This window comes from Homo sapiens, chromosome 5, assembly GCF_000001405.40.
Source record: "Homo sapiens chromosome 5, GRCh38.p14 Primary Assembly".
NCBI classification, from domain to species: Eukaryota; Metazoa; Chordata; class Mammalia; order Primates; family Hominidae; genus Homo; species Homo sapiens.
The window spans coordinates 110,738,145-110,765,441 of record NC_000005.10 but is presented as its reverse complement, the minus strand read 5'-3'; the positions used below and the strand labels follow the sequence as shown (position 1 = coordinate 110,765,441).

At 35.2% G+C, this 27,297-nt stretch overlaps 2 protein-coding genes across 22 annotated transcripts in view, besides 6 other annotated features; one reads left to right on the top strand and one right to left on the bottom strand.

Moving 5' to 3' along the window:
- On the bottom strand, nt 285-27,297 carry SLC25A46 (solute carrier family 25 member 46). Of its 4 annotated transcripts, NR_138151.2 has the most exons (9): nt 26,040-26,435; nt 23,353-23,395; nt 21,655-21,712; nt 19,096-19,173; nt 17,179-17,279; nt 9,921-9,977; nt 9,321-9,446; nt 8,683-8,740; nt 285-4,238 (listed from the first exon to the last, which is right to left on the bottom strand). NR_138151.2 is itself a non-coding variant. In NM_001303250.3 (8 exons), the coding sequence occupies exons 1-8, from the start codon at nt 27,202-27,204 to the stop codon at nt 3,660-3,662; spliced, it is 984 nt and encodes a 327-aa protein (NP_001290179.1). In that variant the 5' UTR covers nt 27,205-27,297; the 3' UTR covers nt 285-3,659. The 4 variants fall into 4 exon arrangements, 3 of the variants coding, with proteins under 3 accessions (NP_001290179.1, NP_620128.1, NP_001290178.1); NM_001303250.3 differs by lacking the exons at nt 9,321-9,446; nt 26,040-26,435 and adding an exon at nt 27,195-27,297; NM_138773.4 differs by lacking the exon at nt 9,321-9,446.
- Nucleotides 12,628-12,887: an enhancer, noted in NCBI's record as "active region_22887". NCBI's record gives its function as "activates an Ori minimal core promoter by ATAC-STARR-seq in GM12878 lymphoblastoid cells {active_cell/tissue: GM12878}" and the evidence as "EXISTENCE:reporter gene assay evidence [ECO:0000049][PMID:35858748]".
- Nucleotides 24,097-24,596: an enhancer, noted in NCBI's record as "H3K4me1 hESC enhancer chr5:110076547-110077046 (GRCh37/hg19 assembly coordinates)". NCBI's record gives its function as "activates a minimal SCP1, AML or CMV promoter by ChIP-STARR-seq in naive H9 embryonic stem cells {active_cell/tissue: H9 hESC(naive)}" and the evidence as "EXISTENCE:reporter gene assay evidence [ECO:0000049][PMID:30033119]".
- Nucleotides 24,597-25,098: an enhancer, noted in NCBI's record as "H3K4me1 hESC enhancer chr5:110076045-110076546 (GRCh37/hg19 assembly coordinates)". NCBI's record gives its function as "activates a minimal SCP1, AML or CMV promoter by ChIP-STARR-seq in naive H9 embryonic stem cells {active_cell/tissue: H9 hESC(naive)}" and the evidence as "EXISTENCE:reporter gene assay evidence [ECO:0000049][PMID:30033119]".
- Nucleotides 26,343-26,412: an enhancer, noted in NCBI's record as "active region_22886". NCBI's record gives its function as "activates an Ori minimal core promoter by ATAC-STARR-seq in GM12878 lymphoblastoid cells {active_cell/tissue: GM12878}" and the evidence as "EXISTENCE:reporter gene assay evidence [ECO:0000049][PMID:35858748]".
- Nucleotides 26,423-26,552: an enhancer, noted in NCBI's record as "active region_22885". NCBI's record gives its function as "activates an Ori minimal core promoter by ATAC-STARR-seq in GM12878 lymphoblastoid cells {active_cell/tissue: GM12878}" and the evidence as "EXISTENCE:reporter gene assay evidence [ECO:0000049][PMID:35858748]".
- The window catches only part of TMEM232 (transmembrane protein 232), a 351,524-nt gene continuing 350,714 nt past the window's right edge, over nt 26,488-27,297 (top strand). For all 18 annotated transcript variants that reach the window (XR_001742182.2, XR_001742181.2, XR_007058620.1 and 15 more), the window contains exon 1: nt 26,488-26,720. The gene's annotated coding sequence lies outside the window, so the exon portion shown is untranslated. The remainder of the gene's footprint in view (nt 26,721-27,297) is intronic.
- Nucleotides 26,803-26,852: an enhancer, noted in NCBI's record as "active region_22884". NCBI's record gives its function as "activates an Ori minimal core promoter by ATAC-STARR-seq in GM12878 lymphoblastoid cells {active_cell/tissue: GM12878}" and the evidence as "EXISTENCE:reporter gene assay evidence [ECO:0000049][PMID:35858748]".

Below are 27,297 nucleotides of genomic sequence, written 5' to 3'. Positions count from 1 at the left end.
TCTGGAGCTGCCTATTTGTCATTTTTCTGTTGTTACTCTCCTAGTTGTGAAATGCAGGACAAATCACCTCCTCTCTGTATCTATTTTATTCTTAATCAAACAGCACAACTCCAAAAATGTCATAGGGATGTGGTGAGGAGGCTATAGAGATTTTAAAAAATAGTGTGCAAAAAAGTTTAACTTCACATATTTTGTTGATCTTCCTTTCTACCTAAAAAAATATACTTCATCTTTAACCACCAGCCTGAATAGTTCTCTCACATCAGTAGGAGAAAAACAGTGGCTTTATTTCGACATTTTATTGAACTTTTCATATTACACAATTTACCCAAAACATTTAAAGTAACAGTAAGACAAACTTAAAAAAAAAAAAGTCATACAGACAAAACATCTCTAGGTGAGGCAATATGTAAATTTCATTGTCAAATCATGATTTTGTTACTCTGCTATACAACTTGGTACCATATCAATGATACTAAATGACTCAAGAGTAAGACATTATGCATTCCGTTTATATGAGAAAAAGAGATTATTTACAACTACTTGAAAGAGAAACAGAAATGCCAACAACAGTATCATTCAAATTCTAGTGCAATGTCAATTGTTACCAAGAGATCTTATTTGCTTATATAAATTTTGCAAATAATTCAAACCTGGCTATCTTATTAGAAGCTGACAAAGTATGCTTTTCTGTTGCAAAAGATCAGTGGACAAAAATCCTCCACAACCTCAGCTGATAAAACAAATTTAAGCAGCATTTTTTTTTTCCATTTCCTGAACAGATGTACTAATACTTAGGTAGAAACACTAAAGCATTTGTACTCAATCAATAAAGTGAATGCTTTGTGCAGTTTTAACAAAGCTGCTGCTAAAAAGACAGTTGTGAGTGGTCAGGTATATCTGCAATAGTAAGCAAGTTCTTACCTTTCCAGTTCTGTATGCTTCTGAAAACACCAGCTAAGGTATTAAATACCCATTTTCAAGTGACCTTGTTTTTACTATTTCATATTTATGACATCTAGTGCTGAGATTCTGGGGGCTTTAATAGATAACCTTATTAACCCAGATAATTTTTTTTGGAGCCCATAAAATAAAATTGAGAATGGCATTTCGGGAAGGTCTACATATATGTATTTAGTAAGTTAATTCGTAAGTTCACTTTACATAGTAAATTAATATTTACCAGTTTTTAATTGCTTTCAGTGTACTTGACTCAAATTAAGAAACCCTACAATGTAAGGCAAGTGTATCACAAGCTCCATGGCCAAAATTTGGCTTATATAAGAGGACCAGTGGGCCTGTGGAACATTTAATAGAATCTTTTCCATAATGCTATTAGTTCTACTGAATTAAAAAATATTATTTTGAGCTGTTATTATCTTAAGAAGTATAGCCCATGGATATTTGATTTGGCACCCATGTTAAAGAAAAATAACAATTTTTAAAAGGGAACGAGCGTATCTTACAGTTATCTCACTCATTCTTTTCAAAATTCAGTGCAACATATTTGGCTAGCTTAAATTTAAGTGCGTGACCGTTCAAGATTTTGTTTCAACTAATTTGGAGTGGTTGTAAAAAATTATTCATATTTTACTTTCTACATTTCAATTTTAATGTTAATTTGTATTCTCTTTCTCCAAAAAGGAAAACAAGATCAACCTTATTTGTGTATGGTTCAGCCTATCAGTCTTATAATTATTCTACAATAAAATGAATTTATGTAACTAACTATTTTCATGCTAACTTCCAAAAAATATCCTGAAATATTTAATTTTTAGCTAAACAAAGGATCCTACAGATTTTCACTAGTAAATACTTGATTCTATTCAGATTCTTTTCTAGAAATTTTTCAAACTTGAAATTTTCTGGTTTACTCTTATCTGAAACTATCCTAATTGAAAACAATTTAAATGCTATTGGTTGGACAAAGTAAACCTTAATCTAAAATAGTCACCATAAAATATAAAATGTGATCAGTGGTGTTTAATTTTATTTTCCCCCTTTTGGTGGAATTTAAAAATGGAAAATGTAGGTGTTTCAGTAACTACACACACACACACACGAGAGATTTGCTACTTATTACTGTTTTTACACTTTTTGGATATCACTTTTTTGTTCCAACACTACTATTTGCAAAAAGTAACCATTTCTGTGACATTTAGCAAGTAAAATGAATTTCTATTCGTATGCATTCTTGGTTGGACAATATCAGTGCAAAGTCACTGTGCTTCAGAGCGCTAAATGGTTCATGATACAACTGTGATTATTCACGTGAAGACATGAAACTTTAAAATGTCTAATGATAGAGCAGACACATATCATTTTACTACACAAAGTGCTTAACCCACCAAATTACATTTAGGAATAGACAAAATGTTTTTATTAAACTGATTAGTAATTTTTTTGCTTATTATATGTTGAAATGTACAAATGTACTTTTTCCCCTCACCCATAAAATACAAGGGCACATTTCCTTTAAGGTTTGGATTTTTCTTCAGTATTCATCTAAAGAAGTTTAAATAAAAGGTGATAAGAATAATTGCTTTTCCCTCCACGTACATCTATTTTGGAAAACAAAATTTAAAGCAAAACCTGAAAGAAAATAAAAACGGAAGCCATTATTTAGTGGTGACTATATACTAGACAAGAGGCACAAATTCCCAGATGAATTTTAATTTTGTTTCCTCTCAGACAAGCCATTCAGAAATAAAAGGGAAATGAGGTTCATTTAAGTACACAATTTGTAAATGTGGAAACAGTAGTAATTGTCATGATTATTTTATATTCTCTCTTAACAGTGGCTCTAAAAACAGCCCAATGATTCACACAACTAGCAAAGCAAACCAAACTCTATAAATGTATGAGAAATTAAGTTGCTAGCACTGAAACACTGGGTTTGGATATGGACAAGGATGTTGTCTCTGACTTGTATCTTTTGGGTACCTTGGTTTTTGATATTTTGATGTTCAAGCAGAAAGCGCGTGACTTTGTTTTATGCAATAAGGTGATGTAAGTGTAGAAAATGTGTAGGGATGAAGGAAATTCCAAGTTACATGTGTATACATAAATGGCTTTATAAAATACATATATATAGCCATTAAGATAGTTACATAGGGACAATGCAATTTAAAACATTTATACTCCTGCTTACAGATTGCCAAGTCTAATCATCCCTTAAGTCTTTTTCAATAATGACATAATTTATTTGCTTAAAGGTAAAAACCTCCTGATTGTATTAAGGACATTAATATACTACACTGTATTAAGGATACTATACCAACATCAATCTAGGAGGTAAAATAAACGTTTGGCAAATATTGAAGTCAGATGGAATAGATTCAACTCTATAAAGTTTTGTTTTAGATTTTATAATAAAATTTTGCTTCTGCCTACGATCATGTTTACTTCAGCATGAGTGCTACACTAACTAGAATTTAATAAGTGTTATTTTTATTGAGTTTTCAAATTTGGAAGGATTTTGATCCAAAATATATACCTATGCCTTAAAAAACAAAGTCAAGATAATCAGTATGGGCTTTAGTACCAATTTTACTTTCCAATCCATTTTCTTCCCCAGTATTTCACTTGTATCCCTCATAACTTCATAGCAAATTATCCAGATTATATCTTCCAGACTACTCAGTGAAGGAACCTAAATCTCAAATGTTATTTTGAAGAAGTGTAGAGTAAATAATTTTGGTAATCTGTAAAACAGCTGCATGCAGTGTGTACTGTATTATAACAGCACCAAACCCTTTATAAAAACCAAACACTCCTTCCTCCTGCCTTATGGTATTGATACAGTCTCTCATTCCCTCATATTGTGTATTAATTGGAAGCACTTCATAGCCAAGGTCTGTATTGTCAATTATTGTGCGTGTTCCTTGAATGTGAAGGCGGTGCAAAACTGTTTCCAATGGGTAAAGTATAACGTCAGAACAAAGACTGGCAGCAAAGTTAGCAATAAGTTCTGGAAAATAAGCATCCAACATACTCTGCACAGGGCTAGTGCTCTCAGCTAGGTGGCTATTGTAAGTCTTTCTCTTTAGAATTAGTAGGACAAACTTCTGAATAACTGAGCTGATGATGTAATGAAGAACTCCATGAAGCACCGTAGGGAAGATCAAGGAAAGAAGCGGAAGAAGTCGTTTGCTATGAGGCACTCCCATGCCTATCACTCTTCCAATTCCTTCTTTAACACACTCCAAAATGCCAGTATTATCTCGAATTATCTCACTCTGAAATAAAAATGATGAAATAAGTAAAACTTAACATTTGCTTATTTTGCCACAGAAAAAGGACTCTTTTTAGGTTCCTTTTAAATCCTAACATAGTGACTGAAGAGGGAAACATCCATGATTTGCAGACTTTAACTGTTATCTAGGCATCAGATTTTTTTTCAAATGAAATCTCATAAAATTGCTAGCAGTGAAGTTGGGAGCTAATCTTATTGGGGTAGGGAGACTGGGGAGATGTGTAGGTGGATACATCTCAAGAAACTTCTTAGAACTCACATGGAAAGGCAATAACTATGTAACGCTTAAGGAGACAATATAGTGCTTATAGTTCTTAAACATGTTTAAATCCTGGCTCCATTACTTACTGGCTATGTAACCATTGTCAAGTTACTTAACTTCTCCTAAGCACAGTTTCGCATTCTACAAAAATGGAAATGAGCACTGTCTACTTTTTATGCACAGGGTTGTTGTGAATATTAAATGAAAAAAGGCTTGGCACTCAGGAGTCACTCAATAAATGTTAGTCTTATTACCACCTGCAATGTCTGCTTTTGTAGAATTTTGGGGATATGAATAAGAAAGTTTGATGTGGATTACCGAGGTATAGATAGATAGAAAAGAACTTGCCAAAAGGCACTTTGGCTGCAGCAATGACTGCAGGAAAGTAGCAGATGAAATTTATAAGGTAGCCAGGGGCTATATCATGCCTTAGAGACTAATCTGTAGACTTTGGCTTCTAGTCAGATGGGAAATAACTGGTTGATTTTAAGCAGAAGACGGACATGACATAATTTGTATTTTGAAAGAATACTGGCTGTTGTGCAAAGGAGAACAAGATCAGTTGAGAAACCAGTTCAAAAGTTACTGGAATGATTCCAGTAACAAAGAGATGATGGTGGCTTGGACTAGAAGGTGGCAACAGAAGTAAAGTGGTTCAATTGTGCTTTTATCCTAAAATCAAAGTCTATGGGAATTACTGGTGAATTGCATTTGGGGTATGCAAGAGAAGGGTCAAGGATAACCCCAAGGTTGCTGTCCAGAGGAACTGGGGGAATAGCACTGCCTTTTATTGAGATGAAAAATTGCCAGAGTAGCAATTTGGTGAAGATCAAGAGTTCAGAAATGTTAAGTAAATTAACTCCAAATGGAGTTCACAATAGAAATTACAGAAAAAGGTACACAATGGACCTACAGATGGTTTCCAACTTACGATGTCTCAACCTAAGATTTTTCGAATTTATGACAGGTTTATTGGGATGTAATCCCATCGTGAGTGGAGGAGCACTGTATTATAAATGTGGGAGTCTTTAGTAAATAGATGATATTTAAAACTATGAGATGACAGTGAGCTTGCCTAGCCTTCTAATCCATCTTCCTACTTCTGACCCTGACATCCTTCCCACTCCAGTTTATTTTTAATGCAACAGTCAAAGAGATCCTAATAAAGATGTAAGTCAGATCACACCACCGCTCTGCTCAAACCTATCAAAGACTTTCCATCCTTCTCAAACAAAAGCCCAATTATTACAATGATTTACAATGTCCTATGTAATCTGGTCCCCTCTTACCACTCAGGCCTCATCTCCTGTATTCCCCCCTTGCTTACTTAGCACCAACCATAACAGCTTCCTTTCTACTTCTTAAGCATGTGTGATACAACACACATGACACAGTCCCACTTGAGAGTTTTTGCACCTGCTTTCCCTCTAAATACAATTCAACATTTGCTTATTTTGTGCTTAGTTAGCACCAGCCACATCGGCATCCTTCCTACTTCTCAAGCATGTATGATACAACACACATGACACAGTCCCATGTAAGGGCATTTGCACTTGCCTTCCCTCTACTTAGAATATTCTCCCAAATATGCATGTTGATCTTTACACAAATGTCACCTTCTCAGTGAGACCTTTACTTATCTTCTTAAAAAAATATTAACCGCCCCTCCCTACCCATTACACATCCTATTTGCCTTCCTTGCTTTATTTTTGCTTTCTTTAGCAGTTAATCGCCATGAAATATACCTTTTATTTAGTTGTTTATGTCTACTTTCCCCATAAGAATATAAGTGCTATGAGAACAGAGCATTTTGGTTTTGTTTGCTGTTGTATCCCCAGGGTCTATAACAGTACCTGATATAGGCAAGTACTCAATAAACAATTGATACATTTTTTTTAAAAGTTTAGCAGTTAAGATAATCTGCAAATCTGAAAGGTAAAGTGATGTAATTAAAACCTTGGTTTAAAACTATAATAAGAAGTCTGAAGTTGATTTTAGGGAATATGAGTCAATATGAATCCTTAATCAGTAAAAGGATATATATAAGTATTGCAACTTGAAAACAATCTTGTATGAGTATTGACTTTTAAAATGTGGAGACTAGTACAAGGATTTCTTTCTTTCTTTCTTTTTTATTTTTTTTAAGACAGAGTCTTACTCTGTCACCGAGGCTGGAGTACAGTGGCGTGATCTCAGCTCACTGCAACCTCTGCCTCCCGGGTTCAAGCGATTCTTCCATCTCAGCCTCCTGAATAGCTGGGACAACAGGCGCCCACTACCACACCCGGCTAATTTTTGTATTTTTAGTAGAGATGGGATTTCACTGTTGGCCAGGCTGGTCTCGAACTCCTGACCTCATGATCCGCCCACCTAGGCCTCAAGGATTCTTAATGAAGAAATAGATAACTACAAAGTTCATGATGACTGGGTAATTATGAAGGATGAAAGAAATGTAAAAATAAAAAACTTTCCTAAAACAAAAACTAAAGTTTTGAATCTTTAGTGTGAAGATAACAATAGTATCACTAATATATTGCCAAGGAGAAGAGGTTCTAAAGGAAGCTAATTTTTAGAGGGACAGATGAGATTGTTTTTAAAAGTTGAGTCTGAAGATTTAACTCACATGAGATTAGAGCTAATGATTCCTGTGAATAAATTAGCTCTTTCAGAATAATGAGTATAGGATAAAAAACAGAGGGTCAAGGATTGGGCCTTAAGGTATAAGACAAGAGATGGCAAAGGCATTATTGAAAAAAGATGTTCAAGAGAGAGAAATCTAAAGAAAAAAGAGTTCTAGAAAAGCAGACAAAAGAGATCAAAAGGAGTTAGCAAGTGGAACTTGAAGCAGGAAACAAGGAGTAAATACTGGGTTAAAAAAAACACATACACAGAAAAAACCCTATCACATAGTGAGCCGGGCACTTATATAAATAACTCATTCAATGTTACACGTCAGTTATTAAAATACTATTCACAATTTATGGATAAGAAAATTATAAAGGTTAAGAAATCTGTCTAAAGTCCCAGGTCTAATTTAAGCAGAGAAATGTGATAATGGGTCTGTCTCAAGCTAAAAATTGTTTTCCCCAATAAATCATTCTGCTTAGTTGTTTTTCCTTAAATAATTACCTTCCTGACATTTTTCCCTTACCTTTAAAATGAGGCTATCTCATACAAGTGACAACTCTGTAAATTCTATAGCACCATACAAAAATTCATCATTTATTTAACACAATGCCAAATGCAAGGGGAAGGGAAAGTATGATTTGGGTCGCAAGACACTAACTTCAGTTAACTGAAGTTAGTTCTAACAGAAATAATAATAATAATAATCATAAATCAAAGATGAATGATACAGCCAGAAAAGAAACAAGGTAGAAAAGAGTAATTAGAAGAGCAAAGGCTGATCCAGTGCGAGTTTTTACAGAGAGGGCACTCACATATACTAGAGAAAAGAATATGCTAGAGGATCTGATGTGGAAATAGAAGACAGGTGTACAAATAGTTGGATTTTGTATACAGGTGAAGTAAAAACTACCTTCATCTTACAGTTTTAAGTGTAGGAAGGAGGGTAAGACATTTAATTAAATGTACTTGAAGCGCCACCATGTGGTTAGGAATAGTAACACAAGCAAACAGAATTTCAAGTGCTAGCAGAAAATTGCTTCAGCTTTGTAGTATTTACCACACCCAATAGTATCAAATGTCACTTAAAGGCATGTTTTAAAAGAATCCTGTCAGTAAACTACCTGTGGGGACAACCTGCTTCCTGTTCGGATGATTATCCATCATGTTTATTCTCAGGTAATTATTAATTTACTGTCCAATGATAAGCCATAACCATCTGAGTTGTATGTAAGGGCCTTAAAAAGTTTATAGATTCTTTGTTTTCAGAGCAAGTTATAGGCTGTGTTCTGAGATGTCTAAATGAAGAGTATAGTTGCCTATGGAAAGGACAAAAATAATTAAAACTAGAAGTGTGACTTAAGATACCAATGGAAATATACAGACAAGCAACGTGCGATATAACTGTGATATTTATAAAATAAATATTTTAAGACATAGTCTTAAAATTTTCTGCTGAAATGTTAGATATCTACAATATACTGAATAGTCAAAAAACTATTCTTAAATAAAAAAAAAATGACAGTAAAAAAAAGCTCACCTGCACTGTTTCAATCAGACTTGCTGAATAAAAAGGCATTGCCACCACGTAAGTTAGGCTATAGAAATTAAAACAAATTTATCAGTATACTGAAACAAGATGCTTATACTAAATTTTTTAATATCTGCTTTAATATGTCAACATAATTTATAGTCAAGCTAGAATAATCTTTTTAAGGTTTTCAACTATTAATACCTACAGCCTAAAAATATTAACTTCAGAAATCTGTAACGTAGGATGCTTTATTCAACAGAGATGAAAAAATCAAATGATAAAACAAGGACAGCCTGCAAAGAAAATAGATTGGACATCTACCTACACATAGCTAATGCAGCCTATAAATCTAAAACTTAAAATTGAGGATGAGGGATCCATTCCATAGTTTGCCTTTTTAGTGATATTTGAGCAAGTAACTTTTCTGTTACTATCCTCTTATATCAATTCCCAGATTTCCCATCCAGCAGAGTTAGGCCAGTCTTCAATGGTGAGTGAAGTCCCTTTTATTATTAAAAAAAAAAAAAAACATTATACAGCTTTGCAAAGTTGTTTCCTATCACCAATATTTAGACATAGTAATATTACAACTTTGCAAGCCTGCAAAATATAGTTATTCAAAATAATATCAAGGTGGGACTTACCTAACCCTTATGGGCCAGGTCCTGGCAAGTAGTGGTTTTCAAGGTGAATGGAACATCACTAAGTAATAATGTGCTGGAATGTCCCACTGAGGGAGCCAGCAAGCTGGGGGATTTCCAATTCACAATCTTCAAAAAAAAAAATTAAAAAGTGAAGAATAAAATTCTAATCTACAAAAATGGTTACCGTTGTAAAATCACTAAGTGCCTTCAGGACTACATTTCAATGTCACTAAGGTTTTTTGGGTTTGCTTATCACCATACAAATACATTTGCATCTCTGATTAACAATAAAATAGTTATACTTTCTTTGAAAATCTGGGTTAAATAAATTGAAGACCTATGCTAACTTCCTAAGAAAACATACACAAAATTAGTCTGTGATTCTAGCCTTTCAAATTAGGAATTTATTTTAAAGATAATATATATTTCAGGATTTATTCCTAAACTCTGTGTTACTTTGTCCTTTGAAGTTATAGTCCCACCAACATTTCACTGCTCTAATTTCCTTCTCTACAGTTATTTAATAAGATTTGTTTCCAGTTCTAATACTATAAAAATTAGTGAAAATGCCCAATAAAAATGCCATTTTTTGATACTTACGATTTCAGTAGAAGGTGTTCTCCTATTTGTTTAGGACTCCATTTATGTAAAACCTCCCTAAAACATAAAAATAAACTTAAATAAAACAAAAGCCATGTTATTTAAAACATCTGGAATTAGCCCAATTTTCAAAACAGTAATCAACTTCTAATTTTTTTCAATCTGTAGGAGAAATATATTCTAATGGTGAACATTTTCTTTTCTAGAACACAGTGTAAACAACTGTGATGGTTTGAGAGAAAAAAATACAAGGTGTTTTCATACGTGCTGATAGAAGGGGCTGGCAGAGAAGCAAGAGGCACAACTGATTATGAAAGTAAACATGAGAAATTAAAGGAAGAAAATTAAGATGATTGGTTAAAAGAAAGAGAATAGATATGGAAACAAAGAACAGGATTAAAAAAGGCTTTACAAAGTATATAAGAATGACAATTTTTTAAAAAAGTTAAGTAACTCTAATGCAGGCTGACACATTACATTTATGTAGTACCTAATTTCTGAATTATCTTTACTTAGTACAATTACATAATTTTGTGACCATTATATTCTATTATCTTTGTGAGCACCTACTAAATGCCATGACTATGCAAAGTGCTTTGCATGAACTATTTCTAATCTTCATAATAACCCTATTTTCTCCATTTCATAGATGAGGAGATAGGATCAGAGGGGATTAATAACTCATCCAAAGCCAAGTAACCAGTTAGTGTGGAACTCTGTTCTAAACCCCGGTACTCTCTGCCTGTACTGCCTCTCATCTTATTTGATACAAAGAAGAACCTTGTGAGATAAGCAGAGCAGATATTGTCACACTTGTCTTACTGATGAGAAAAATCAGGGTCAAAAAGATCACAGGAAAATGTTCAAAGGAAACAGGCAAAAATGCCAGGTCTGGAACCAAGGTGTAGGATTTTGTGCATTCTGTCTGCTAGTTTGGTTACCTTTGGAAAACAAGAAAAGAAAGAAAAAAAAGGAAGGAAGAAAAAAAAAAGAAAGAAAGAAGGAAGGGAGGGAGGGAGGCAAGCTGAAATGAAATAGAACCAAAGGTGAAAAAAGGGAGTAAGTTCTATCAAGAGAAAAGTCCAAAAAGAGTCAAGATTATAGAGGGTAAAAAAAAAAGAAAAGAAAAAAAAAGAAAGTAAATAAGAAGAAAAAAATGAAAAGGCAGGGGAGATAGAAGAAAAATGAAAAGAAAAAGAGAAAAAAAAAACAGAAAGGGAAGTGCAAAATAAAGATAAGACTTGCTACCAACAGTTTCTCTGATGGAATGGGTACTCATTCCATCATGGCTATGGCTACAGCAGGAATCTAGATAAACATTTTCTATTTCACATGACTGAATTTGAAAAACAACAGCATATACATACATCAGAGACTTTCAGACAATAGAGCAACTACCCCCGATTTCTAAGACCTTAGAGCACCTTCTGGGCCGAACTCTGATTAAATTACTATTAGGATATTTATTTGGCCTGAACAACACAATGTAGCTGAAATCATATTATTCAATGATTAAGTCGAAAAATATAAAAAATAGATTAGGCCTCCCATCTTACTGAAAGTTACTTTATGATTATAAAACAAAATACGTTACATGCTTTGTAAATCATCTTGGCACAGCTAATACTCATGGCCTCACAAAGTATTACCACAGTTTATGACGACACCAATTTTAAGTATGAAACTGTGGTAAACACTTAGGACTGGGTAGCCTCCCCTTTAAATACAATGTCAATTCTGAGTTACCTCCCCTTTGATGACTACTGCCAATTCTTAAGATCATTAAGATAAAAGGAGACTTAAAACCAAGTATTTAAAAAAATGCTTTTGGGACTCTTCTTTGTATCTGTTCTCTACTACTTTATAAAATGGGTAAAATTTACTGTTACAGCTCTAGAAATTTAAATAAGCATACTTAAAAGCTTCAGTCACTAAACCTTTTTATAATTCATTATCAAATACCAAACATGTAAATATATCTAAATTATCTATTTCCAAGCAAAAAATGCCCTCCCTAATGAACGAAAAAATTAATAAAATTTATTCGAGTACCTTGCTTTTCTCAAAACAGTCTAGTTTTTCATTTAACAAATCAAAACACATACTCCTATGCATAATCAACACAAAAAAGGCAATAAAATTCTAAAATAACTCTGTCTCAGCAGTCTTTAATTTTCAAATGGTCAAATAGCTATCCTAATTAAAAAAAAAAAAAAAAAACTTACCCCAACCTACTCTAAACCCCTCATCTTCCAGTTACCTCTCTTCATCAATCCTAGTCAGAGCCAACCATCTAAACTTTCTGTTTCCACGTCTGTACTTTCCCACTCACCTCTGAACCCACTTCAAATTGGTTTTGAACAAAAACAGCTCTTACCAAAGTCTCCAATAATCTGCATGTCATTAAATCTGATGGACATTTTTAAGTCTCTACCTTATTTGACATTTCAGCAGCCATCAGAGCCTCTTCTCTCCTTGAAGCACTCTTTGCCCCTGTGCTCCACTAGCCCATTCTGTTGGTTTTTATCCTGCCTTCTGGTCTCTCCTGACTCCTTTTCAAGACCACCTTTCTTAACCCAGCCACCCCTTGGTTGGAGTTCCTAAGGTTCAGACTCTATTCTTCTACCATAGTGTATCCTTCTTCCCTAGCGACGCTCATATCTAGGGTTAGAGCTTCAAAATCTCCCAAATTAATTTACCTTCAGTTAAGAATTCTTTATATGCCAGCCCCATATCATGTGCCTACAGACAACTCCATCTGGATATGATAAAAGATCTGAAAATGCACTTGTACTAAAGTCCAACTTAAAATCTTTCTTTTCTACTTAAACTCTTTCAGTGTTCCCTACTCAGGAACTATTAATCAGAAAGGAAATCTATTGAATTTGAGGAAGATTTCATTGTGTTTAAAATAACGTGTGTTTAAAATAAGCAAATTCGGAGGGAACCGTTGGAGGAAAACTACAAGATGTTTACAGTGGTATAACCACAGATGTGTGATGAGTCAAAACTAAGTTGGAGTTGAACCAAATGGGTTTTGTGAGAGACTGAACCACACAGGTAGCCTTGGTTACAGGAACTCCTACCTCGCGTTAACAGTCTGAAAAAAGCCACATGTAAATTAAGTAAAGGGTACTGTGGGGGTAGAACGACACATGGTTTAACTCACTGCAACTGGGAGAGAGAACAGGGAAGGGTTTAGCAGTATCTACTGCTAAAGAGATCACACATGACGATCCTGGCTAATATATAATTTGTTAAAAAGTAATACTACTGAGAAATTATAAATTTGCTGACTTAATGAACACTAGAGATCTGCTGTTTTTCTCTTTGATTTGATCATAAACTGTATTTAAAAACCCCTAAATATTGGCAAATCTGTACTATCTCCCCTGTTCTACCTAGTAAATGTTACGCAATTAAAAAACCCCAGGCTAGGAGACCTCAGAGCTCATCCTCCTCATGTAGTAGCTTCTGTGAACTGCTGTTAATGTTTTGTGACCTTGTTTGCTCCTTCTTCCCATTAATAGGATACAGAAACAAACTCTGCCTTCTTCCCATTAATAGGAAAGGTCAAATCTGCCCAAAGAAGAATAAATAATTTTTTAAAAGATATTCACACTATACTTCAAAAAAACAGCTTCATTTGACAACTAGTTACACAAGCCCAAATACAAGAAGTCATTCTTCATACTGCCTTCTCTTTGATCTACCATTCCTAAAGCATCACCAAATTCCCTCAGTTTGACCTAAGTATATTTCAAAACTGTCCACTTACCTCTATCTCAAAAGATACCACCCTGATCTTAGCCACTATCTTTTCTTACCTTTATTATTGTAATAGAATACTAAGATGTCTCCTTTTATTCACTTTGGTCCTCATACAACCTTTTCATCTACAGTTACAATGACCCTTTGAAAACAAATCTGATGTCACTGACCTTACTGAACCTCTTCAATATTCTTAAAATGGCCTACAGGGCCACACATGTTCTGGCTCCCACCTGCTCTGTACCCTTACCCTTGGCCAGAGCTCCAGCCATGTGAGGCTTCTCTCAGTTACACCTGAATTCTCTAGGCTCCCCACTGCAACAGCATTTTTGTACAAACTGGTATGTACCTCCTAATTACCACTCTGATCTACCTTAAGTGTCATGTTACTAGGGACACTGTTTCTAGCCCTTTAATACTTTCATGGAACTATATTCTTTTGCTTCAGAAAACAAATTTCAATTTGCAATTATTCATTAATGGAATTATTGTTCTTAGTGAATGTACTTTTATTAGATTCTGAGCTTCCTGGCAACAGTTACCTTTTGTTTATTTTCCTCACTGTAAACCCGGTTTTTAGCACAGAACCTGGCACATAGTAAGTACTCAGGAAATGTTAGCCAAGTAAATGAATGAATTAATGAGTGGGCCTTATCACCAAAATTATCCAAGTAGAACAATGCAATAGAGGTTACTATTTTGTCTTCTTTGGAAAGATTCAAAATGATGAAAATATATTCCCACTCAGTTGACATGTCTGTCTACTGAGTAAGAAAGTTAGATGATAAAATTTTATAAAGTCCTATGCCTTCCCATTCCTATTTTTCTTTTTTCTTCCCTGTAGCCTGAAATTAATGTTATTCCTTCATCTCTGCTTTAGAGAGGCAACATTACTTGCATAAGGTCCCAGAAATAAAAAGTGGAATAGCCAGGACCTGAACCAATAGTGTTCTGGTTGCAAATATAGTCAACCCTCCATATCCATGGGTTCCACATACATGGATTCAGGCAACTACGGATTTACAATATTTATTTAAAAAAGGGATAGTTGCATCTGTACTGAATGTGTACAGAGTTTTTTTCTTTCTTGTCATTATTCCCTAAACAATATAGAATAACAACTATTTACATAGCATTTACATTGTATTTGGTATTACAAGGAATCAAGAAATGATTTAAAGTATACAGGAGGTTATGTACAGGTTGTATGCAAATACAACACCATTTTATAAAAGGGACTTAAGCATCTCTGGATTTTGGTATCCACTGGGGGTCCTGGAATCAATCCCCTACAGATATGAGGAACAACTGCATTGAATTTTTTTCACTCTACCAAATGGAATTTCCTGCATTTTGTTATTTTTTTACAGAATTGTTTGTTAAAGAATTTCAAGAATATTTGACTATAAGTACTAACTTGGGATCTTATCTAGTGATATAAAAGCAATAAAGTGAATAGTTAGCCAAACAACGAAATACAGATTTTTAAAGAATAAAACAAGAAACTCTGAGCTGCCCAAATGTTGCTGACCTTTCTAATCTTTGTTTTGTTTCAAACGTTTTAGCAAAGTTTATTTAAGGCACTTCAAGACTACGAGGTCCTTCAAAAGCAATCACATTGGAAAAAAGCTTACTATCAGTTTCTCTTGCTTTCATTTCCTTCCCTGTAAGGACTAAATCCCAACATTGGGCATATGCGTTACACTAGTAGCTATGCCTTCAACTATCTCACTTCTTTAACAATGCAAAAAATTCACCTTGCCAGAGAATAAATTTGGATTAACAAACCATTCCAAAGCCTTTAACATTATCGATAGGATGATATACAAAAATATAGTGCTGATATAGAAAATCAGAGTAATGCCAAATAGCACCTTAAAAATTTCTAATTTCCAATATTACCTATTAACATTCCTTTCATATACTCTTTGTAAGATTCCTTTGTTACCCATCATTGTGACTGTCCCAAATGTGTATCATTCCTCTCATGCTTTTCTACTACAACCCCAATGCTTATCATTTTTTCACCAAATAACCCTGTATCCTGCTTCACAGAGAAAAGAGAGACCCAAAAGCAAATTTCCCTAATTTCTCTACCCTCTCTCTCAAATGTATCTACACTTCTAATTCTCCCATTTTTGGTTTCTAGAACATGATTGTCCTACATCTTATGCTATTTCCAATTTGTCTGAGGCCCTCTCTAATTTCTCTCATTATCTCCCCCAACTACCCCCCTTCCCACCGCTCCCACACACACACGGCACACATGTATGCCTAGGATTCTGTCCTTGGTCCATTTTATTCATTTAATCTATGCTTTCTCCTTAGGTGATTTCATCTATCCTAAGCTTCAGCTGCTACTTTTATGCCACAATACCCAAAGCTCTCCCTGTGCTTCAATTTTCTATTTTTTTTTTTTTACTCTGATCCATGGTTCCAACCAAATATGAGACATGTCCCTCTCCCTCAATGTCTTGCAAGAATCTCAAACTTCATTTATTGAAAGATAAATTCTTTATCTTCTTCCCTACTCCAACTTTTTCTTCTTCTTGAATTCTCCATCTTGGTTAACATTTTCCAATCTAGAAATCTCAGTCACTACTGACAACTCATTCTCTCCTATCTCCAATTACCAAGCTAACATAATGACCATCGACTATACTTCAGAAATGTCTAGCCAGCTCATCCCTTTCTGTTCTGTTCCACAGTTCAGAACCTTCTCAGCCTCGCCTAGATTATTACAATAGATCTCCATAAATCTGTCTATACAACTCCATTTATTTTATACTGCCATTTGAATATATCTTGATCAGAACATCTATATATTAAAAAAAGAAACACATTCCAAACCCATAGAGAATAAACTTAAAAAGGCACAATCGTATTTTAATGTAGCACCTCAGCTTCTTTTCCTGATATTCAATTTCATACATACCCAATATTCCAAACATAAGACACTTCTTTTATTACCTAGACTGTCCAACCCCGTGACATTGGACATGTTACCTCTTCTTGCTTACATGTGTCTCCTTCATTAAATGAATACTTAAAGAGCGGGAATTGCTCACATACCCACATTTGTTCCTCAGCTGGCAGTTGCTGGCACATAGCAGTAGAAGCTGAAAGATACATCTCAATAGATACTAAGCCAAGACACATTTTCTTTATCACATACTAATTTAATAATATATAATTAATTTTATTCTTTGTTTTTTCTTTTAGTTACTTCAGACAAGTTTTCAGATTCAAGGTATTTTTTATTTATTATTAAAACAATATAATAGGGGAGGGATGGGGACAAGGGTTGAAAGCTACCTATTGGGTATGATGTTTACACAATTGAGAATTGTTGGATGAGAGGATCATTAGAAGTCCAAACTTTAGCATCACACAATATACCCATGTAACAAGCCTGCACATGTACCGCCTGCATCTAAAAACACATCACCACATGAAACTAATACTGAAGAAATGCTAAAAATGGTACCTTGGCAAAGGTGTAAATTCACTAATTATGCCTTCTGCTCCAAGTGTGACTCCCTGGACAATAAATGTACTTCCCATTCCTTTCCACAGGGCTCTAGGTCCCTAAATTGAACAAAATTCATGTTATTTCTGTTAATACCTACATCTGAAACACAAAAGATCTTAATAAAACTTGATATTGTGTAGACATTTTCCAATAAAACATTATTCTAATAGAAATATTAGTAGAGAACTACAATTAATTTTATATCATTTTAAAGTTATACTTAGGCCAAGAAGAACATTCCTATTAATTAAAACCCCTAATGATTAACTAATTTATTAAATATCCCTAATATCTATATATTCAACTCCCTACTAGTCCTGTCCTGTGGATGACACAAGGTAACTTGAAACTTACATATCCACAACTTAACCCAATCATACTCACTCATACCACACCAATTCTTTCCTTCTCTGCTGTATTTCCTATTTCCCTAGATAGCAGCTTCATCATCCTAGTGTCCAAACAATATATCTAGAAAACATTTTTATCTCACTCTTCCTATCTAATCAGTCCCCAGGTTCTACAAATTCTACTCCCTTAGTATCTTACAAATCCATGCTCTTCTCCATACTTAACACTATTACTTTATATCAATTTGACTACAAGTTTCACTGTCTCTGGTTTTGCCCCTTTGCATGATACCATCAGTAATACTCCTATTATTTATCTATATTATCTATATTATTAATAGATATACATGATAGAATTAAAAAGAAGCAATAGGGTATCAGCTGAAAAGTCTGTCTCCTTTTCATCCCAGTCCTCAGCAGCAGTTTTAAAATTTATCGGGATAATCCATGCATATACAAGTATATCTGTGTGTGTATGTTATAGAAATATTTTTGTTTTGCTTATTTTTAACAGGTAGTATTATCTTGAAACATAAAAAATATCCTGGAGATCATTCCACATTAGTATACACAGAGCTACCCTCTTATTTTTAAAGGTTACAAGGTGTTTCACCATAATATACCATAATTATTTCACTGGTACCCTAGTGATGGACATTTAATCATTTCCAGTCTATTATATGCAATGTCATAGGACATCCTTGTATATATATTTTTGCATATATATGTGCACATCTATGTGGGATAAGTTCCTGGAAGTGAAAGAACATGTACATTTTAAATTTTAATAGATATTGCCAAACAATCCAAAGGTCTTCAAGATATTTTGGTCATGGCTAAAACACCTTCAACAGTACTCTTGTAGCTTTTAAGATCTAGTAGTGTGCAGTTCTTAGAAGGTGCTTTAGAATCTGGATCCTGCTTACTTCTCTGGCTACTTTTTCATCTTTCTCTTACTCTTCAACCCCCACTTCAAGCTCCCATTGTACTCCATTAAATCCATTCCCAAACATTATGATCTCTCTTTGTCTTCTGCCTTCACACGTCTACTTTAAAAACCTTTTCTCTATCCTCATCATGAAGAGTCAGACTTCTCAACAAGAAGCACACAATTCGGGCCTTTCTTTTCCCAAAGTTTTTCCCAGCCATACACTGTGCCCAAGCCCAGTTTTGATAAGGTACTTCTCTTTTGTATTCTGACAGCATTCTGTACTTCTAATATTGCCTTTATCTTACTGCAGCACAATCTTCAAAGATTTTGTCTCCATGAATAAATATGAGCCTCTTGATAGCAGAGACATCATCTTAGCACAGCTCTTTGTGGTTTTGCTAAATTAAATTGTACTTTTGCTAAATTACATTTTGAAAGATTCAAAAACATATCGTTGTGCTACTTTAGTTTTACTACAACAGTTAAGATGTTTTATTGACCAAACTGAAAGTAATTATTCTTGCTTTAATGATTACTAAACCCAAATGACACTTATATAAACCTTTAATAGAATCCAGACAAAATTCTCACCTGAGTTTTGTTGAAACTGTACATAATATTGATGACTGTAAATGGAGTGAGATGGTAATGCTGAGCATGGTAATTAACCTGTAAAAAAGATATTTCATTATTTTTTTCTGTTAATGTTTTGTCAAGAAATAACAGAGCCATGAAAGAAATATGGTGGAATTGCAGTATAAACAAAAGTTAATTCCAAAGTCAACATAAATTACACATAAGCAAAATTACTCTTAAAAGTGCTTTAAATAACCTATTAAAAGTACAGTATGTATGGTTATATAAATACAATCTGAAGACCAATGCATAATACACACAGTACTGTAGACTATATAATAAAGAGGGTCTTATTTGATATTTGGTTTGCCTTAAACAACTGAATTACATCTCCCAACTCATGTTCATTTTAGGCAAGCATTTTTCAAACTGTACTTGGCAACTGACTGGTATATGAAATCAACTGGGGGAGTGTCAAAACAATATTTATTATGTGAAACAATAAAATATTAGAATGTATTACATTCTAATGGTATTATTTCATAAAACATTTAAAAATAATATATTTGTTACTTATATGTAATGTATCCATTGGATCTCCATGTTAATATTACTACAATGTAAAATATATATCTGAAATACACTGTTCTGTGGCACATACAGTCAATGCTACTTTAATGGTATTTCTGTATACATACTTTTCAGTGCTAAGCATGAACAGATTAATTTATAATGATTTATACTGTTTTGAACTCTAACAGCTAACAAATACAGGAAGCATTACTTTACAGAGAAAGTGGGTTATAACAGGACGGGCGCAGTGGCTCACACCTGTAATCCCACCACTTTGGGAGGCTGAGGCGGGCGGATCATGAGGTCAGGAGATCGAGACCATCCTGGCTAACACGATGAAACCCCGTCTCTACTAAAAATACAAAAAATTAGCTGGGCACGGTGGCGGGCTCCTGTAGTCCCAGCTACTCGGGAGGCTGAGGCAGGAGAATGGCGTGAACCCAGGAGGCGGAGTTTGCAGTGAGCCGAGATCATGCCACTGCACTCCAGTTTGGGCAACAGAGCGAGACTCCGTCTCAAACAAACAAAAAAAAAAAGTGGGTTATAACAGAGTTTGCAAGTGGGGTCCACTGACTCCTGAGGGCCCCATTACCCTTTCAGGGGCTTGACAAGTTCAAAATTATTTTCCTAGTGATTACTAAGATATAATTTCCTTTTTTCACTGTCTTGACATTTTCACTAATGGTACAAAAGCAATGGTAGGTAAAACTCCCAGCTCATTAGCACAAATTGAGGCAGCACCATCAAACTGTATTTTCGTACTTACAGTAATTTTTCACCTCATTTACCCATAGAGAGAAAAAAGCAACCTTCATATAGTAATATCCTTGACAATGAAGTAACAAAATGTTAATTTTATGAATCCTTGACCTTTGAGTACACATCCTCTTTCTAATTAATATCCTGTGTGTTACATAAGGAAGTAAGATTGCTGTCATGAGGAAAGCACTTGTATGATAGAACTGCAAGCTAAACTAGCCACTTTTTTCACGGAACATCATTTTTACTTAGAAAAACTCATTGACGGACTATACCTATTCACTTTCAGGACAGACATATTTTAAAAAATAAACAAAGTGAGATTGTTGATTAAAACAAAAATAAATAACAGTATTTACTGTCAATGATAAGTTTGAATTTTCAACTAAAACTCAGAATTTTGGAAAATCTATATGCATCGTCAAGAGCTGACAATACTTATAGACTTTTCTAGTGAGATCAGTAGTATTTTTAATGAAGATGATTTTTTGATATTTTATAATCAAATGTTTTAACAACAGGAAGATCTATGTAACTCAATTGGTCAATATTTTTCAAATAACTTATGCACAATTACATGGAATCAGGCATAAGTAAAAATATCTATTCAAGATGCAGTATAGTTAAATGGATTTTTTAATGTAACAAAGTATAAAAAGTTCACTAAAATGATTTCTGATTTCACATTGCAAATAACCTTTAAGAAACTGCGACACAGTGAGTTTTGGTGCAATTGCAAAGAATACCCACAATTATCTCAAAAGAATATAATATACTCCTCTCCTGCTTTCAACTATACATGTGTACAAGACTAAACTTCCTTGCTTCTTTCAAAAACCACGTGATGCAACAGATTGACTGCAGAAGCATACGAGAGAAACTGGCTCTCTCCTATTATGTCAGATATTAAAGATATTTGCAAAAATGCAAAATAGTTACTTTCATAAAAACATATTATCTTACTAACAGGTGTTATTATTTTAATGAATTATATAGATGCATTGAAATTTTCCCAATTTTAATTTCTGAAATGGTAACTATCAATAGATATGACCAACATAAACCAAAGTTATTTAGGATCCTCAATATTTTTTTAAGACTTTAAAGAGGTTTTGAGACCAAAAAGTTTGGAACATTTCACATGAAGTAACAATTACCTGGTTTCATGTCATTTATGTGAGTTCTGCCCTTCATATTAGGGTCAGAAGTATTGCTTCAAAAGATCACAGAAATTACATTTACCTGACATTGGCGGCGTAGAACAATGCAAGGATGTGCCAATACATTTTCTGTAAAGAGACTATATAAAAATAATTTATGTATATGTATGTCTACATAGAGATAAATTAAATTTACAACAGGTATCTTTCTGAAATTATTCTTGCCTGAAGAATCATGCATTATTTTATGTTTTCCATTCTTAAACAAATTAAATAGATCTTTAAAAATGTCTAGAAATGTTTGCAAATGATTCTACCCATAACGAAATTCAATATGAAAAGAATGAAAACCAGATCTGCATACTAGTAAATAAGGGAAACAATACATAATACATAATATTAATGTCTATAGTATAAGATGAAACTAGATCTCTGAATGTTTAATGTGGGAAATGGCACATCAATTAAATGGCATTTAATGCTGCAAATTATTTCTTTCAGAAAATGTCCTAATAACAGAATTCCTATCAGCAGAGTCATTTGATCTTCATGAACCCCATTCTAAAAATGTTTGGTTTTGGTGCACTTAAATTATAAGGTTTAAGTATAAATTTAAGTATAAATCTTAAATTATAAGATTCTTAATGACCATGTTAATTGACTAATATTTATGTATCAAATATTTATTTTGAGAATGTGCCCCACAAAACAATTACAGCTGTGGGTTTCAGGTCTCAGAGTGACATATACATACATGTGCACACATATTTATATGTAATAATAGTCTATCAAATGAATCAAAGCTTTAAGTATAAATATTGAAGCAAAAAACAACTCCAGCAGAATGGAAAACACAGATTTTATTTATATTGACATTAACACCCTCGGGTTTAATTATGCAAATAAGGTGTTTTTCTTCGTTAAAATGTTTAAAATAATGATCATTATGGCATGAAATGTAAGCTTTGTGCAATTCCAATATTTTTGAAAATGGTATTCACTAAGGATCACAATAATCAAGACTAAAGGATTTTCTTAAAATGATCGTTAGATATAAAAAAAAGTAATGCTATCACCAAACGCTGATTATGAACAAAATCTAGATGCTATGTTGCTAAATATCTTGTAAGCATTAGAGTGTTTAGAAAGAAGCCTCCATGCACAATTACTTTTTTGATGGGAGACAGACAGATTACATTTCATTTTATTCTTTGGATAGACCCATGAAAAGAATGAAAACCAGATCTGCAAACAGGTAAGTAAGGGAAACAATATATAATACACAATATTAATATCTACGGTATAAAATGAAACTAGATCACTGTATGTTTGATGTGGGAAATGACACGTCAGTTACATGGCATCATTAAATGCCATGTAATTTTTCTTTCAGAAAATGTCCTATGAAAAAAGTTCTTATCAGCAGAGCCATTTGATCTTCATGAACCCCATTCTAAATTATTATTTTGATGGGAGAGAGATAAGATTACACTTCATTTTATTTTTTGGATAGACCCATGAAAACAGTTACAATACTCATTACAAAATTACTTTGTGTTTATAAAATTGGATGACTAGTCTATCCTTACTGGAAAAACTATCAAATTATATATTTTAAATAATGGTCATTTTTTTTCTGCAAAATATTATTCAAAATTTAAGCTGCTGCTTCAAAGAAACAACCTAAAGGAAGCAATAATAATCATTTAATATTGTAAATTAAAGAAAAACTCTAAATTCAATAAATAAAAGCTGTAAACGTCTTTAGATAAAACATTACCTTGCAAGTCCAATACCAAATCCAGCAAATCTATTCAGCTGTTCTAAAGTAAAAAAAAATAGAAATAAAAAAATAAGATTACTGATAACCAATTACTGACAATTTAGGTTTAGTCTCAAAACAATTTTAAAAAATTTATTTTATTAACCTGCTGTTCATTTAAACCTCAAAGTCAAATTCTGATAGGGGCCAGGTAAATAATTTAAATGAATGAAGGACTCTGCTGGGGTCTGTGGCAAATTGCAAGGTGTAGAGTGTTTAAAGCACAATTACGCTTTCACTCCAATTCATTGTTGCCACATTAGAGTGTGGGCCCAGGGTTTTGAAGTTGTAATTTTTTCAAAAAAAGATATTCTCATTTTATATAAAAGCTTCCAATTTTAAAGTCCTGGACAACTATTTCAAAAACTGTTAACACATTGTCTTGGCCTAATGAAACAAATATCCGGACAGAACCTAAGGGCTACCAGTTTTCAGCTTCTGATTCCAATCAAATAAAAAATTTTCCATGGTTGGCCGCAGCTGATATTCCACCTGCGACTTTACCTCTTATGCTGTAAAACTAGTTATTCACTGTTACTGACGGAGAGCACTTTATTAAACCAATAACTACAAGTAAAGCACCTCTAAATTATTAACTTGAAAGGGTACTTAGGGATAACCAAAATGGGTAAATACAGCTCTCCCCCATCTCTTCAAGTTTTAAATAGTTTGAGGCTAGCTGTTTAATTAATTGGAGTAGGTTACTGGATACCTAAATGCTACTACAGATGGTATGTCTGTTATGTTACTGGAAAAGTTCACAGCTGGGAACATTCCTATGCATATGTCAAAAGAGAAAAGCCTTTCTTCTTGACTAAACTCAAAGTCATAGTGGTGAACTATTACAACCCCAGGGGACCAGACATCAAATTCTAACTATAATACAATATTCACAAGTTACAATTCTTTCTCTCCTCTTCTCTTTCAAGTGAAGCAACTGCCCTCACTATTCCCTTTCAATCAGAACAAGGCCACCTAAGCATGTTCCTGGGAAATTACGCAGTTTACCCTAGAAAAATGTATAAGCTAAATAGAAAGCTTCTTTTACCCACCTACGGTACTTTTACCTTAGATTTTACCTTTTTTTGTTTGTTTTGAGACGGAGTCTCGCTCTGTCGCCCAGGCTGGAGTGCAGTGACGCGATCTCGGCTCACTGCAAGCTCCGCCTCCCGGGTTCACGCCATTCTCCTGCCTCAGCCTCCCGAGTAGCTGGGACTACAGGCATCCGCCACCACGCCCGGCTAATTTTTTCTATTTTTTAGTGGAGACGGGGTTTCATCGTGTTAGCCAGGATGGTCTCGATCTCCTGACCTCGTGATCCGCCCGCCTTGGCCTCCCAAAGTGCTAGGATTACAGGCGTGAGCCACCACGCCCGGCCTTACCCATTTTGTATGTATAGATCATCCCCAAATAGCAACAGAAAATGCTACTAGCATTTTCTGGAAGGTGTTAGGAAGGTTTAATCTTGTTTACTGTGTAAGTCTCTTAGGTGTCTATCTTTGTTGCAAAATTAACATTCACCCACCTGTTAAGGCTGCAAAATAAACCCCTGCTTGTGTCAAGGAACTCCTCCTCATTGTAACCACCAAAGCATAACTTTAAACCGGGAAGAGTCAAAAAGCTAATTGTATGACAATTAGCTAGGTAAGTCATCTATCTTTCTTCACATCCTCATTTACTCACTAGACATTCGTTAGTCTGTTCTTCTTAGTTAAATATTATTGTACTTCCAAGTCAAAGTCGAGGAAATAAGAATAAAGCTGATTTCTACAATAAATTTAATATTAATACCATTAATCTATTATTCTAACAATTCCAGAAGAATAGAAAGAGGTAGCCATTATTCACATTTTATGAATAAAAAAGGATGTTGAAAATATCTACATCATGCAGTGTTGCAGCTTTTCTGACATCCCATGGAGAATAATTATGTCATGATTCCGAAGTCCTATCTTGAAATTGTATCAGTGTTTCTAACTTTTATATGTAGTTTTTAGGTCAGCAGAAGGAAAGCAGAAAGGAAAATTATAGGAAGGAAACTTTCTAGACTGGGGATCTGAAAAGCAGACAAAACTCCTGTGTTCAAAAAGGAAAAGGAAGGAAACTTTTTTTTTTTAGCCTATGTGTCCCATACAGGATTCTTCTACACATCTTAAAGATGAGAAAACTGAGGGCTCACAGAGGTTAAGTTGTTCAGATTACGAGTGGCACAACCAAGTTTGAACCCAAGTATGCTTATGCTGAAAGGCTTCTCTTTTCAGAACACAAAACTACAAGTAAACACATTAATTAATTAATTAAATCAAGAAAATAGAGCTGCCAAAGTGAATCAGGGAACAGTTAATAATCCAATCTCCTTTTTAACTCAGACCATCAGTTGAGACACCAAAACCTCTAAAAATTCCTGCTATGCACCCCATAGCTAAGGCAGATGTCTTTTTTGGAGTTGATCCAGGAGAATTCGTTTGTGAGGAAGAGGAGGCCAGCCTCAGGGGCAGAGGACCAAAGGAGGGCAAAGGGTGTGGCGCGCGATAGGATGAGAAGGAATAGGAGGCGGGATCCTCTGCGCCGCTTCCGGGGTCTGCAGGCCGCAAGCCGCGGCCCCAGTAACCCCTCATCCCTGTGTCGGTCCCCATGCTTCTCACCACTGCTCTGCCCCTGCACACTGCCGCCGCCGCCACTGGAAAAGGGTTCCTCCGTGGGGCCTTCGTACGGGGTGGAGGTGGTGGGCACGCCGTAGGGCGGGCTCTTCTCGCCCCAGTGCAGGTTGCGGCTGCCGGGGATATCTGGGGGAGTCGTCACCCAGTGGCCCAGGTCCGACCCGGTGCTGAAGGACCTTGCAGGGAAGGCGCCGCCAAAGCCCTGCTCGTCCCGGGCACCACCCCGGTAGCCCAAGCCATCAAATCCGTCCGGGCGCCGCGGATGCATCGCAGCGGGGGCAGGATGACGCGAGCCCGCCCGGAGCCCACCACCACCGGGGCCACCACGACCTAAGCACACACAGCTTCCCGTCGGCCGCCGCCGCGTCAGGGGTAAATTCTGACAACCGGAAGTCACGTTGGAAACCCGGAAGTCTTCGGAGCACGTGATTATAGCCTCTTCCGGCAACCATTAAAGGGCACGGTTGCTAGGGAGACGCGGCGGTAACCTGGACCTTAAAAGTTTGTTGTCGTTAGGGAATAGGTGGGAATATGGTTGTGGGATTAATGAAACACAGTACCAAAGAGATTCCAGAAAGAGAACTGGTGTAGGAATAGGGCCTGCATGGGAGGAGTTCAAAGATGCTTCTTGGAGGGAGCCGATAACCCGCGGGTGGAGCCTACCCGGTGAGATCCCGGCCAGAAATACCCCATGTCACAGCTACGCCCCAGATCTCAGTGTTTTCTCACGGGCCTGGTGCCTCGCCTGCTCCGAGGAAGCTAGTAGAGGTTGGAGTTGTGGAGGGTTAATAACGTTCCACCTAGCTTTGTCTCCCGCACTTGGGGTTTTGGATCAAATCTATTGAGAGATATGGTACCGCCCAGTGAACGCGAAAGTACTGTGGACCACCAGAGCAAGCATTTTAAAAGTTGAAGTGCACGTCGGGGGTGAAAGAAACCCACGTACTCGAATACTGTCCTCCTGGAGTTAGAAATTACGCGTTTTCCTTTTCTAAGGCTGTAAAGAAACTATAGTTTTCTGTCGTATTTTTTTCTGATGTGTCTAAATCACTCAGGGTATTGAAATCCCAGTTATATCGTTCAAAATTGGGACCTCTAATTGAATAACTGAGAGGACTACTGTAGAGCGTCCCCTACTACCTGTTTTCATTAGCTCCACGGGCTCTTGGGCCAGGCTCCCTCCCCAGATCTGAGGAAGACTTCCATGGTTTCATCCTATGTTCCTTCAACTCGTTGGAAGCCC

Excerpts from the sequence above, each read along its gene's own strand:
- SLC25A46 (NM_138773.4), bottom strand. The coding sequence starts at position 26,322 with ATGCATCCGCGGCGCCCGGACGGATTTGATGGCTTGGGCTACCGGGGT. Across the intron at positions 23,396-26,039 it reads TGTGCAGGGGCAGAGCAGTG|AACAGCTGAATAGATTTGCT; the intron begins GTGAGAAGCATG and ends TTTTTACTTTAG. Across the intron at positions 8,741-9,920 it reads GAACACCTTCTACTGAAATC|CCTAACTTACGTGGTGGCAA; the intron begins GTAAGTATCAAA and ends TAATTTCTATAG.